A 14,924-nucleotide genomic window follows, 5' to 3' on the forward strand; every position below is an offset into this window, starting at 1 on the left:
AATAACAGATTATACAGCGAATTAAGACTTCTTCTTGCCATGGTAGTTGACTCTGAGGAAGAAAAGAAAAAAAAAAAGCTTTCCTGACTTTTCAATGAGCAAATGATGTTATAATTTGAATAAACGGATCCAGGGAATGACAATGCAACTGGTGAAAACTACAGTTGTCAAAGCCATGTGATCAAAATCAGGATTCTGTCCTTTTTCTAATGTTTCCTCATTAAAGACTTGTCAAGGAATCTAGTTTGAGAATGGCTTGCCTTTTCCCTGAAATGCTATTTATTTATTTATTTATTTATTTGAGACACAGCCTCATCCTGTCACCCAGGCTGGAGTGCAGTGGCACGATCTCAGCTTACTGCAACCTCTGCCTCCCAGGTTCAAGTGAGTCTCATGCCTCCGCCTCCCAAGTAGCTGGGATGACAGGCACTCACCATCTTGCCTGGCTAATTTTTTTATTTTTCGTAGAGAGGGGGTTTTGTCATTTTGGCCAGGCTGGTCTTGAACTCATGACCTCAAGTGATCCAGCCACCTCGGCCTCCCAAAGTGCTGGAATTACAGGTGTGAGCCACCACGTCCGGCCCTGAAATGCTTTATAATTGACATTTTGGAGAGACAGTTTTTGTAAGATTATATCATAGTCTCCCTGATGTTTCATGAACAGGTATTACGTTTGGTATAAAATATAGACAATATGGGCATGGAAATAATGGGGCCTTTGAGATATTTCTCAAATGATTCTACAAAATTTAAAAGCAGATAATTTCTCAATGTAATTCAAAATTAGAATTTTCTCTCATAACTTGGGCTTTAACATTTCTGAAAACTAACTCAATGTTGTGTTGGTTTTAGAGTAAAAACACATTTTAACAACAGCAAGAAGGAAACCCAATGTCAGCAAACTCTTTGTTGATGAAAACAACCATTGGTTATTATGACACTCAGTCACAATAACCTCATGAAGAGTGAACCAGGACTGCAAACTTGGACATGGATCTGGCCACTCAGTAGATCCTGACTCTTCTTCTACCCCTGGATTGTAGTCTACTTAATCACATTTTTTAAAAAAAAACTTCTGAAGTCAATGGTAAAGAGTCCTTTTGCTAATGGAAAACTCACTCTAGAGAGTCTATCAATGGAGGCTGGATGGTGGGTGAGTGCACAAGGCAGCCTTAAAATAGTAAGAAGAAATATGATTTGTTGCATGCCTGCCAGGCACCAGTGTTGCATTTCTACCATGTGCTCCTGTTCTAAGTGGCTTCTGTTTGTTTGTATATTATTCTTTTAATTATCAAGGTAATATCATCTCCCCTCTCTCCACCATTTTTTGTTTTGTTTTTTTTTTTTTTTACTGTGAGAGCTTAGATAACTTGCCCAAATTCAAGTTGATTTATTTGGTAGAGTCAGGAAGGTTTTGTGCTCTTTCCTAGCTAAGTTGGGAGCACTGTCATCCAGGGGAAAAAGGCCTCTCTTGGTGAGACAGAGGAGAGAAAACAGGAAGTGCTCCCCTGGTCCAAGCAGTTGCCCTGTGTCCCTATGCAGAAAGTTGAGTCCAGATTGATTGTCATATTCTGACTTCCCCTCCCCCACTGCTTTTCTTTTAAACAAGGCAGTAAATTTGTTAGTAGTTTGGCAACTGAACTCATGGGTTGGTGGAAGTAGCCACCAAATGGTGTGCCTGACTCATGCAGTGGGAAAAGCTTCTGAGGGAGACAACTGAGGTGTCTCTGGGGCTAGCAATGCTCTTACTGTGAGACTGGCCTCAAGACAATGGAGAGGCTCTCTTGTATGCTACATATATCTCTCCCCATGTACACAGTTGATTGGTCCAGTGATGGACACCTGACCAAAGGTAAGCCAATAAGATCCTTCCCTAGTATTTTTTGAGCAGTAACTAAGGTAATCTCCTGCTGGAGACAATGCTTCAGATATAAAAGGCAGGAGTTGCTGCTGGCTGCCATGTTTCTTGCCATGTAGAAGTCAGTCTCAGAGAATAAAGGCAACATTCAGAAAGAAATATGGGGTGAGATGGAGATAGTTGGTTCTGGTCATCTTTTATTCCCTAGTTCCAATTGTTTCTTAAGCCCCTGCTACACCCATTCCTGGGTACATGGTTCTCTCTAAATCAGTACATGTTGTTTCTTTAGCTTGTGACCATTGAATTCTGACCAACACAATCTCCTTCTTCAAATGAGAAATTCATTGCACTTTCAGCCTCTTAATACAAATAACCATAGATGGGCTTATTCTGTTTTAATGTAAGAACAATTGCAATTCAGCTGTCTTCTTGAAACAGTATTAGTACCAGGCAGCTGAGAAGGACTTGCAGACTTGAGGCAAAGCCTAGGTTAAACTCTTTGGAGAAGGGAAAGCACAATTTGTGGGGGATAAGGGGCAAGGGGTGAGGACTGGGGAATTTGCCATATTTAGGAAGAGGAGACCTCAGAGTAGAAAATAGTCTTGAAAGTGGGTATTGAAAGAGGACATAAGCACATTTTACTTACTTCATAATGCTATGAGGCCAATATTTTTGGGTCCATAATCAGAGACTGATCTTTTCTTGGAAAGGGAGAAGAGATATTTATTGCAGTTTTTCTAGAATATTACTTCTAAGAATTTGCTGGCTCTGAAAGAACTTGATAGATTCTGTTTCTAGTTTGTGCACATATTTTTATTTGAAAATATTTTTAGTATTACATAAATAACAAATATGAATTTTTGCTAGGCTGTCTGTGAGACAGGGGTTAGGGGCATTAAAAAACACCTTCTGGTGACCCCTTATTTAAAACATAGTGGGGTATAATTTTGGAGCAGTAAAACCTCATTATAACATACTTACAGTTGACATTTTCAGGCTGTATTGTCCATGTTTTTAAGTCCTGGAGAAAGGCCCATTAAAGCTGTGTTTCTCACATTAATTCGACATTTAACCACTTACAATACAAACCCCAGTCTTTTGGAAAATGTCATTAAAAATTTTTTTGCCATATATGGACATTATTTATTGTTTGAGCCCCATTGTCTACTTATAATATGCCCTTTATCAGACCCAAATGCCCACTTCAGAGATTTTCGTTTTGAGCAACAACTGGCTTCTTACATTATCCAATGATGCAGGAAAGTTAAATTACAGCCAGTTCATATCATAGAAACAAAATGTTTCCTGCAATTACTGATAAGGGACAGTTCATTTTCTCTCTGTCATCCTGAAAAAACCCTCCCAACAACAATTCATGCCTGGTTAAACAGGATTTCCACATCTACTGCTGACATCTTTCCAAATAATTCAGGGTTGTTATTACTGTATAGCCCTGGCAAGGCTCAAAAGCAAGCAGACTTGACGAGTCTGCTCAAAGCAGAACTTAAGTAGTTGTAATTAATAATAATTACATGCCCACTACACTCCAGTTTTATCATATTACCCATCAGTGCAAATAAAAAACCCCACACACAACACACTTGCAACAGGATTAGTGCATTAATAAAGTCACTCTGCATATGTCATCTCCCTGAAGTTGAAAATATTCATAATGCTTTCTGTTTTATTGATTTTCATGATTGCATGTCTGGTTGCAAATGTTGTTTAGATGTAATACAGCTTGGGATCAGCCTCGTTCTCTTCCAAAAACCTTCTCCCCTCCTGCCGTGACTCGGATTCGAACCGAGGTTGCTGCGGCCACAACGCAGAGTACTAACCACTATACGATCACGGCAAGCTACTGAAGAGCTGAGCACTAAGCTTTCTCTAAGAGCTATTGCAATATTAAAATTTGTGGAAACACTGCCATCTATTGCCTAAATACGTACATTTTCTTAATATTTGGAAAGAGAAGCTGTGTTCCCGTAATTTCTAATTATTTAGAGGAACAATAATAAATTCCTTGAAAATAAAATGAGCATTGTCTTCTGGGCTGATTGGGAAAGTTGTGATAGGAGAGGATTCACTGGGTTTGCTGTCCAGGAAATGGTGATGAAGGTAACAAGACTAAGAGATACCAGTCTGTTGACTCACACTTCCTATGTTTAATCAATAATGGATATGGATTTCCCACCCCAACCACCACCAAATAATGCTGCATTGAATAACATATGAGTCTGAGCCTCTTTTGTGCATCTTTTCACCACTAGCCTTATTTCCATTTGCTTAGGCAGCACAACAATAAAAAATATAGCAAGAACAAAATGGGGACTGCAGAGACTCAAAAAGACTTGCTTTTCCTACTAGGGGAAGCCAAAGTCAGTATATCCTGACTGAGGAAAGGATCCCTTTCAAACTCATTGATCCTTGAAGCTAGTTTTCTCCCCGCCAGAATAGCTATAGGCCTTAAAGCCAGAATCATCTCAGCAAGAAAAGCTTCCCAATAACATTAGTGAGCCACCACACAAAGAAACTGGAGTGTTCTATGCTAGATAAGTTTCAAGAGGAAATTGATTTTAGATTTCTTTGCTGTAAAACTTGAAGTAGTAAGTAGTCTACACAAGATATTCCAAGGGCTGAAAATCTTAAAACAAAATGCACAGGAATACCTAATCAATGGATTGTTATCAGGGTGCCTCCTTTAATTCCTCTATACAGAGAGGACCTGGGAACAGCTGGAGCTAGCTGGCACTGTATGTGGGTGGCAAGAACCTCATGCATGTATTGATTGGGTGCCCACAGCTCTAAGGCTTCTAGAAGGAGGATATCTCTGAAGAGAAAAGTTTCACATAAATGTTCACTCACTCACTCCCATCTGATCATCTATAGCCCCTTTTCTTTTTCTTCCATCTCTCACAAATACATCTTCCGTCTATGGCCACATAGAAGATTCTTGCTTGGAGTTCCTGCTCCTGAGCCATGCATGCCCTATGCAGGAACCAGGCAAGGCATTCTCTGGCCTGAAGAGGAATACATGTGGGTGAGTCTGGTGAAAGTTCACCTGTGGCAAGAGGGCAAACCAAATCTCCTGCTCGACAAAAGAGGACATAATTGTTTCCTAAAATATAATCATTCATGTACCACCTTCATAATTTTTGCTGTGGCCATGTACCAACTGAACCACAGGAGAAATAATATTTGTAAAAGATCAACTCATAGCATACAAATTGTGGAACCAGACTATCTGGATTTGAATTCTGGCTCTATCACTTACTAACTGGGGCAACTTGGGCTGCTTATTAACCTCTGTGCCTCTGTTTTCTCATCTATTAAGTGGAGATAAAAATAGCAACTACTTCATAGGATTATTATGAGGGTTAAACAGATAAGTACATGTCAACCTAAAATAGGTCTGTCACATAGTAAGCACAGTGGAAATGTTAGTTACATTACTATAATTTAAATACAAAATTTTCAAATGAAAGTTTACAACATTCCATATATTTAAAAACATAGTAACACATTCCATAAATAGAGGTCACTCTAAAACAAAATGTGAAAACAAACCAATAGAATTAAATCCTAGCAGACACTGTAAGCTCCGAGCTCAAGTTCTGCTCTGTGTTTAAAAGGAAGGTGGGCAGATCTGTTAAAACCTCATCGGCCTCAGAACCAGGCTTCTTCTGGACTCTTCCGAATGACCACAAAAGATTTGAAAAAGGAATAACTTTCTCTTCACAGATTTTAATACTATTAAATGCCACACCCATTAGGTAACTCCTTAAATTACTTCACACATTGGATCTGTCGGCTTAGGTCATACTATGTGACAATGTGCAAATCTTAGTGGCTTGGAATAAGGAAGGCTTTCCTTCCCTTGCGCTGATCCACATTTATTGCATGGCCCTGCTCTCTGTCTCCTCACTCAGGCAGCCAGGTTAAGGTAACAACCACTGTCATGAACTCTGCTCATTGCTTTGGCAAATGGAAAGAGCTCTGCAGATTCCTGAACCAGCAATGAAAATCTCTTCTTACAACTCACTGGCTAGATCTGGTTCCATGGCCTCAGCCTGTTATAAAAGTCCCAGGCAGTGCATCCCTGCCATATGCCTGGAAAGCAGAGAGCTGGAAATCTTAGGTGAACATCACTCAGGACTTCCAGCCATGCCACTAGTGGTGAATCTCAGCTTGGAGAACTCTGTGAGGCTGTGTGCCTCAAGACACACATGACTGGGGAGCAAAACCCTGACACAGAGAAGTGTTCACCAGGTAAGGCTTTCATTTGGCATCTGTATGGGCTTCTCCTTTACTTGATGTCAGTCATTGTGTGGATAGACTCTGAAAGGTTCTTGCCTGTTAGAGTGAGATGGACTTTTGAACAGTTACCAAATTTCTCCTGCACATTCACTGTCTTCTTAGGATACGCATTCAGATTTCTTCCACAGCGCCAAATACCTGTGACTCACTACAAAAGGAAAAACCCATGGGACCAAAACATGGTTTCTGATGGCATTTGCAACTTCTTGGCAACCTACCACCTGATTATTCTTTTTCTCTGATTGTGCTATATCAATAGTGACATTATTATCACTCTCCCACTAATTTATTCATGACTCACAAAGACTTGGGATCTACTATAGTTCAGTTATTTTTTCTGAATCTTAAGGATTCAGTGGAGAAGAAAACAGAAATGGATCATGATTTCACACAATTTATAGTCTAGTGACTGAGACACAGATGAATAGAGATAATATATGAGCTGGCACCCCGGAAGGAAATTTCCTTAAAAGTTTTCAAATGAGGTTGAAGTTGAGAAAGGCAGGAAGGCATTACGAGAGAGAGGGAGGAGAGAGAAAGAGACAGAGAAGAAAGTGGCCTGCTTTGTCTGGATTCCAGTTCTTTCTCCAACCCTTCTCTGTGTGTGACCTTGGACTAGTCACTTGACCTCTCTGTGTCTCTATTTCCTCATCAGAAAGGTAAGGTAAATTGGGCTAGATGAGCTTTCAGATTCTTTATGCCTCTGACATGCCATACATTTAATATAGGGAAATACATTTACCAACAATATCCAAATGTAAAAAGTGTGCAGGAAAAAACACCTATTCAAAGCAGGAGAATCTTATAGCTATTATAGTTATCTTTTATGTGTTTTCTGAAGTTCATGGAAGCTGTCCCTTTGTCGGTTTCCAAATGTTGTCAGCCTTATTTCCCTGCCTATGGCAACACATTTTAAATAGGGATCAGTCTGTTGTATGAGTGATTTAAGTTGGGTGTAAGCAAGAAGTTCCTGCTTGTGCGGGACATTAAACTATTGAATTCATCCCCAAAGATTGTTGACTTCCCCTTCCAGAGTTTTAAAAGTAAGATGACTGTTTACCAGGGGCTCATTGTTCCACGTGAGAGAGCCTGGCTTTCCTGCCTCTCCTCAGGCTTCCTGGAGCTGCTCTTCTGATGGAGTTGTTCCTCTCCCTGGTTGTTTATAATGGATTCTAACAGAGGAGCTGGGAGCTGACAGGAGGGCCCGGGACCGGAGGGGGTCCCCCACCTCCCCAGCTGAGTCCTATCTCCAGCATTGCCACTCCTACCTTTTTTCCCAGGCCAAGCTCTGTGTTCTCCTGCTCGTCCCTCTTCTCAGTGTGCCTCCTGCCTCGCTGGGGGTAGGGAAATGACAGTCGGATCCATCACTGGGCTGGAGGCCAAGAGTGGCAATCCGTGAGGCTGAGGCTGGCCCAGTGCCCAGTTTTCAGACAAAGACAGGTTGGGAACCCCCCTGCAATGAAGAATCCACGGTTCCCTCCTCCCAGAGTCCTGCCTCTTGTTTCTTGGGTACTTTCTAGAACACCACCCCCATCCTAGTGTGTGTGTGTGTGTGTGCGCGTATGTGCGTGCGTGTGCACGCATGTGTGTGTGTGTGAGATGGAGAGAGAGAGATTGGTGGGGGGTAGATGAGGGGGGACTGAGAAGCAGGGAGGGAAGGAGAGAAAGGCTGGACAAATCTCGTGCTTGTAAGGGTACCAAGGATTGCTCATATACTACACACACTCATGGAAATAAATCATGTTTTTAGGGGGAAAATAAGATAGCTGAAAGCAGAGGAAGCCCAAGTCAATTGCAGGTCCAGATTTCAAGCTTCCAAATACATCACCATCAGAAAGAAACGCTGGGTGCTAAATAGTCTTACGTGTGACCATCTCAACGCTTCCTGTGTGTATCAGAAAATCGTTGATCCTGAGAGAGCATGAAACACCAGAGAACAACGCATTATTTTCAGAATTCTTGTAACCACAAAATGTTTTAACAGTTTACATTTTCGAGAGTAAACTGCCTGGAGTGATTTTCCCCCTTGCTTATTAATGAATTCTATTTAACCAAGTCAGAAATCTTGCTGTGGGGAAAGCTGGAAAGGGGGTGGTGGAGGTGGAGAGGGGTTGTTGGTTGGTGGTTTAATTTTAATTTTTTTTGCCTGAAGGCACCATTAGAAAACTCCAGATGCAAAGCTTTCTAATAGAATTCCTCATCTGACACAGCCCCCTGGAATACACGGGCTTAACCTTTACGATCTGGTGGGCCAGGCCTCTATTTGGAAACCTCGTGAGCGGGGGCTGATCCATTAATGATAATGTGTAATAACAAAGAGCCGGGAGAACAGCTGAAGGCCTGGGGCGGCAGAGAATGAGGGCTCTGCATGTAGAAAGAGGGGTGGCAACAGGACGCCCGAGGAAGAGGGACATGGGGTGGAGAGAGGGATTGCTGAGTACTGGAGAGCCTGGGAACGCCCCCAATGACCACATTTTCTCTTACCATCACATTAAGATTCTGAGGTTTTAAGAAAGAAAAGTGTCGGCCGGAAGGAGCCCAGTTAGCATTCTGGATTTATGGCCAACAGGGTTCTAACCAATCCCTGTGGAGCTACTTTTTGTTAAGAAGTTTCAGGCTCGGCGTTGTGGCTCGTGCCTAAAATCCCAGCACTTTGGGAGGCCGAGACAAGAGGATCATTTGAGGCCAGGAGTTTGAGAACAGCTTGGGCAACAAAGTGAAATCCCCTCTCTACAAAAAATAAAAAGATAGCCAGGCATGGTAGCACAGGCCTGTAGTCCCAGATACTTGGGAGGCTGAGGTGGGAGGATCCCTTGAGCCCAGGAGGTCAAGGCTATAGTGAGCAGAGCTCACACCACTGCACTCCAGCCTGGGTGACAGAACGAGGCACAGGCTACTTGAAGGTCTGGGGCTGATAGCCTTGGACAAATGATTTAATCTTTCTGTGTTTAAATTTCCTTCCTAAAAAGGGGATAATAATAATACCTGCGTTATAGGGCTATTGTGAGGATTGAATAAACATACAATGTGCTTAGAAGAGTGTCTGGTACTTAGTAAGTGCTTAATAAATATTAGCTATACTTTGGCCACCCCAGATGTGGGAGTGAGCTTCCCTGAGCCTCAGGCCAGAAAGAGGGGGTGCCAGGAGAGCTGGCACATGCTGAGCCCCAGAAGTGGCCTGAGGTTGAGGGACTGGGCTCTGTTTATGAGAAGTGGTCAGGGCCAAGGGGTGAGTTGGACACCAGATGGGCCAGAGTGCCTCAGGGTCCGGACAGGTGGTTCCAATTCCAGAGATAGGGACATGATAGGGGCATGTGAGGAAAACAAGTAGAGAGGCAAAAACACGGTGTAAGGGTTGAAAACACCCCCGAGGCGGAAGCCGTTTGCCCCAGTTTTGGGTTGGCACATTGCCTTTTCTGCCCTATATGAACCAATATCTCAGTCAATTTCGTCAGGAGCTAAGTAGGCAGGGCAGGAGAAGAACTTTGGGGTGGGAATTGGAAGGAGAGGGGGTGGCTGAGCCACATGGGAGCTGGAAGTCCTTCCTCAAAGCCCTCCTCTGTAGAACGATCCAGGCATTTGGCTCACCAGGTGGACCTACTTTTTGTCTAGATTTGTTCTTATAGTGGTGACAATGAGCTTGCTCTGAAAATGGCTGAGCCCTCACATGCATGAGGCACCTGGTGTGAGCTGGGGTGGGGCTGGGGCAGTCTACCGCCACAGAGCTCTGCAAGGGGCCAGCTGTGTCTTCCTCATCTTGTCTCCCACATGCTTCACCTTAGCACCTAGGACAGAGCACACGCTGACTAGATTGAAATATTGAATTGGCCTGGGTGTGATCCAGAATCCCTGAAGTGCGGTCTAATTTTAGAGCTGCAGAAGGAGCTGATACCAATCGAAGGGCTCTTTAATTGGCCTATTTTTTTTATGGTTAGGTGTTTTGTTATTGGTGATTTTAATTTTGCCTCTTCTGAAGTACATTTCACAAATATACTTGTTGAATTACACAGGGTCTATGTCCAATTTCAACCTTCTCAATGAATGTCAAAAATCACTAGAGCCACAATCTCTCCTGATTAAAGCGGGGCTATGAAATAAACAAGCACATCACTGATCAGAAAGAGACTGCTGTCCAACTGATCAGACCTTGATAATCTTGTGATTCAAAAATACATGAAAATACTATTTGCATCCCCTGATAACAATGCCTCAGTCACTTGAGAGTGAGAGAGAAACCAGGGAACTGGATAATGCAATGAAATGAATAGAGAATTAACACTACATTACGTGTTCATGTTTCATTCTGCTTTGTTCATGATGAAGTTTATAATCTGGGAACATTCATTTATCCCCCTTTGCCTCATTGACTTTAAAAAGAATAATAAACCTGCTCTTTTTCTACTACACAAAGGTATTAAGAGAAAAATGTGAAATATGCAGAACAGTTTGAAAGGTGTTGTGTAGAACATACAACTGCAATTTTTCTTACTATTATCATCATTATGACAGCCATTCCTGATATGGAAGATAGATATTAGGTTTATAAGATGAAGCCAGATTTTTACCCTAGGTAGCCCTAGAACTATAAAGATATCTTGGATAAAAAAACCTGGACCCTTGACAGCTTTCCCTTAATTATCATCAATTCTTTGAGTGGGTTCAAAAAAAAAAAAAAAAAAGGAGAGAGAAAACAAAAAAAAAAATCGGACGGAAAACCAGCCTAATTGAATGTAGGATAAACTATTCATTAGCAAGCTAAATAGCTACGACATTTAATAACCTGTAGTGCCTCATGGAAAACCAAGACATTGCCAAAAGTAATTGAAGTTTGTGATTCTCCAAACTGTTATTTAAAGCAGGATTTGGCAAGGCTCAGTGGGTCTGCGCCGATTTTAATTGCATTTTTAAAATTCAGGATGGAGATTTCGTTTCTTTTCTCATTATTTGTGTAGTGAAGTCCCTTTATGGTGAACGTGCTTATAGTGAAACCTTATGCGGTGATTTTTAAAGTTCAAAGCATGTGGGATCCATCTATATCAAAACCCATACTTTATGTTCTGACCTTTTAACTGATTAATTCCCAGTTGCATATAGCCCAGAATTCTTTCTTTTTCTTCTTCCTCTTTTTTTTTTTCCTGCCTGTCATCTAACAAGGCAGTCTCAACCCTTATTACTATGACAAGCAGCTTCCTGGGGGGTCAAGATGGGCTTGACCTCAGGAGAGGGCCTCCTCCAGTGGTGAGTGAATGGGCCGTGGAAGAGAATCACCAAGTGGCCATGTCTGCCTATGGAATAAGCAGTAGTTGCTATCCATCCCTAGCCATAGACACCCAGAGACCATTAAATATATACAATGCATTTATTACAGACCCTTTGTACAGTACACTTACGAGAGGCAACTATGATTGTATTACCCTCAAGGGCTTATTACAAGGGCTTCTCTGCTCCCTTGTAATTTCCCATGAATGATTGTTTTAAAATAGCTACCATTTGTTGAGCACATAGTAATACGGCAGGCACTGTGCTAAACACTTCACAGGAATTAGGTCATTTCATCCTCAGGAGAACCTTCGGTATGATTTTCTTCATCATACCAAGGTGCAGAGTTGGTGAAGGAGCTTGCTCAGGATCACACAGGCAGAGCTGCCAGGGCTGGGACTGGAGCCTAGGAGGCTAACTCTGGGTCCACCTCGCTTAATCACCACCCTCTCCTAATCACCACCCTCTCCTACAATGCTGGTTAGTGTGCTGGGCCCCATGTGTGAAATTTTCTGATATTCTCCCCACTAAAATTTCTGTCTCCTGTGTCTTATCACACAGGAACATGCATCTCTGATTGCTTTAGTTTCCCACCTTGTAAAAGAGGTTACCTAATAATATCTTCCACAAGGGGTCGTTGAGAGGATCAAATGAGCAAGAGCAAAAAATGCATTTGACAAAATGTCCAGTAAAACACGGCCATGTATTAGTCCGCTAGGGCCGCCATAACAAAGCACTACCACTGGGTGGCTTCAACAGCAGAGACCGATCGCCTCACAGTTCTAGAGGCTACAAGGAGCTAGCAGGGCTGGTTCCTTCTGAGGGCTGGGAGGGAAAATCTGTCCCAGGCCTCTCCCCAAGCTGCAGGTTTGCTGGTAATCTTTGGCGGTCCCTGGCTTGGCATCACTCTAATCTCTGTCTTCATCTTTGCGTGTGTGTGTCTGTCTCCGTGTCAGACTTTGCCTTTTGATAGGACACTAGTTCTATAAAACTTGATTATCTCTGTAAAGACTCTCTGAATAAGGTCACATTCTGAGGATCTGGGGGTTCAAGTCCAACATACCTTTTTGAGGGGACACGGCTTAACCCATAAACCATGAGCTGCTATTTTTATTAGTAACAACGGTATCACTAATGTGTATAACTAGAACATGTTTTTCTATCAGGTATAGTGTTTGCAGTCTGCGGAAGGCTATTATGCACAAGGCTTTGACCCAGGGCCACACTTGCGACATGGCCAATCCCAAGTGTGGTGGCAGGCAAATCTTTCACAGATCTTTAAATCTAACCCAACCCCCCACCCGCCCCCCCGCCATGACTCTTCTGCCTATATGTGGTGTTGCTTCTGTCCTTCCCAGAGTGCAGGACAGTGGGAGGCCGACTCACAGAGCTTTGGGAAAGGAAGGTCAAGGTTCACAGCTAACTATGGCAGTGCTGAGGGTGATCAGTCGGGCAGTGCCAAATTTTTCTTCTTGTGTGTCATCTGAATGATCATCTCCGTTCTCCTTCTTGGCAGTCTCCATGCTACCCACCTCCATCCTCCATCCTCAGCTATTACTTCCTATAGATGGGCTTCCAAACCAATGCCTTCATCTGAAGCTTCTCTCAAAAAACATGATGCCATATTTCTAATTAGCTATCCAGCCTCTTCACTGACTGTCTCATAGGCATCTCAGGTTCACTGTCCAAACTGAAGTCAGGTGTCTCCCACCCACCTGCCCTTCTTCTTCCACATCACCTATCTCAGGTAAAGGCACTGCCATTCCTCAAGCTTCATGAGCCAGATGAAAACTGCGATGCCATCCTCAGTCCCTTTCTAAGCCATGCTTCTCCATTCCATTTATTCTAACCTGGCCCCAATTGCAATACATCCTCCTCTTAACACTCTCGGAGATATCTCTTCATCTTTACTTCCCAATTATTTTAATCCAGGCATTTGGCATTCTTGCCTTCCTATTTTTGCCTGTGGTCTCACCCTTTAATTTTCCACATGTACAAAGTTATCATTCTAAAATATAAATCTAGTGGCTTAAATCTCACAATAGACTGTAATATCCGTGAAGACAGAAACTGACTTACAGATGTGGACATATTCTCACTGCTGAGCATACTGTCTACCTAACATGTGGGAGGTCCTCAATTAATATTTACTGTATGAAAAAAGAACAGAAAATAAAAATTTCTGTCACTGTCCATTGTCCACAAAGTCCAAACTGTTAAACAAAACATCAAAGGCTCTTCAGTGTGTGTCCCCAAACTATTTTTCTGGTAATATTTTCTACCTCTGTTCAATCCCTCATACTAAGATCAGCTAAGCAAAATTATTTGTCATTTTCTAAGCATATTTATGATTTTCATGGCCCTAATCATGCGAAAGTACATATTTGATGTGTCAGTTTGAGATGCCAATGAAAGATCCAAATTGAGATATCAAATATGCTGTTAGGTACATGAACCAGGAACTCACAAGAGAGGCTTAGGGTTAGAGTAAGAGGTTTGGAAGCTGCAATATATAGATGATGTTAAAACCAAGACAATGAAAGAACACACCTAGGGAGAGAGTGTAGATTTTAGAAGAGTATTCAGAAATTCAACATAGATCATCAAACCAGATATAGAGTTTTAGGTAACGGTAAGTCATTCAAATGGCACTCTCTAGAAGGTAATGGCTAGAAAAAATTGACACTTGGGCTGCTTGATGGAAAGCAATAAAAATAGAGTTTTGAAAGTCATAAGCATAATGGTAATTGTTGAAACTCTGAGAATGGATGAGCTTCTAAATAAGAGTGAATTATCCCTGAAGGTGTTACTTATACTCATGCCAGAGAGAAAGATTTGTTTTCATGATTAGATGTTGAAAGACTCAGAAATGTATCGGGGGAAAAGAAAACGCAAGTCTTACGTGATATAGCCAACACTTCCTTATCCAGCCATTTAACATTTACCAAATTTTGTCCTTATCCCCGTTTACTCTTTGACTTTTAAAAAATTGTGAAATATGTCAGAAGAATATAAAAACATATGTACATCATTAATAATTTAGACAAGAAAAATAAGCTTAACCAAGTTAAAACAGAATATTACAAGGACTGTAGAGACCCTTTTTGTGCACTATCTGCCTTCTCCAAGAGGCAACTAATATCCTCACTTACATGATAATCATTCCTCTGTTTTTCTTTCTTGTCTTACCACCTATGTATACATTCCTCAATCATAGATTGTTCAACTGTGCTTGCTTTTGAACTTTATATAAATGGAACAATACAGTATGTGTTCTTCTGTGGCTCGCTTTCTATACTCATGATATGTTTGTGAGCTTCGTCCATGTTGATGTGTATAGTTGTAGTATGTGTATTTTCAGTGCCGTATGGTGCTTTCTGGCCCCAACTATTTGTTGCTGGTATATAGGAATGTAGTTGATTTTTCTGTATTGGTTTTTGTTTGGCAAACTTGCCAAACTCTTTTATTAATTCTGATAATTAACCTGTAT

General features: G+C 41.8%; 1 protein-coding gene and 1 non-coding gene across 5 annotated transcripts in view; both read right to left on the reverse strand.

Annotated features, from left to right (window-relative positions):
• The window catches only part of NFIB (nuclear factor I B), a 450,235-nt gene that overhangs the window by 348,456 nt on the left and 86,855 nt on the right, over positions 1-14,924 (reverse strand). The window lies entirely within an intron of this gene.
• On the reverse strand, positions 3,642-3,713 carry TRH-GTG1-6 (tRNA-His (anticodon GTG) 1-6). Its single transcript has one exon. It is a non-coding gene; the product is annotated as a tRNA-His (tRNA).

The sequence above is a fragment of the Homo sapiens genome, chromosome 9 (genome assembly GCF_000001405.40).
Source record: "Homo sapiens chromosome 9, GRCh38.p14 Primary Assembly".
Taxonomy (NCBI): domain Eukaryota; kingdom Metazoa; phylum Chordata; class Mammalia; order Primates; family Hominidae; genus Homo; species Homo sapiens.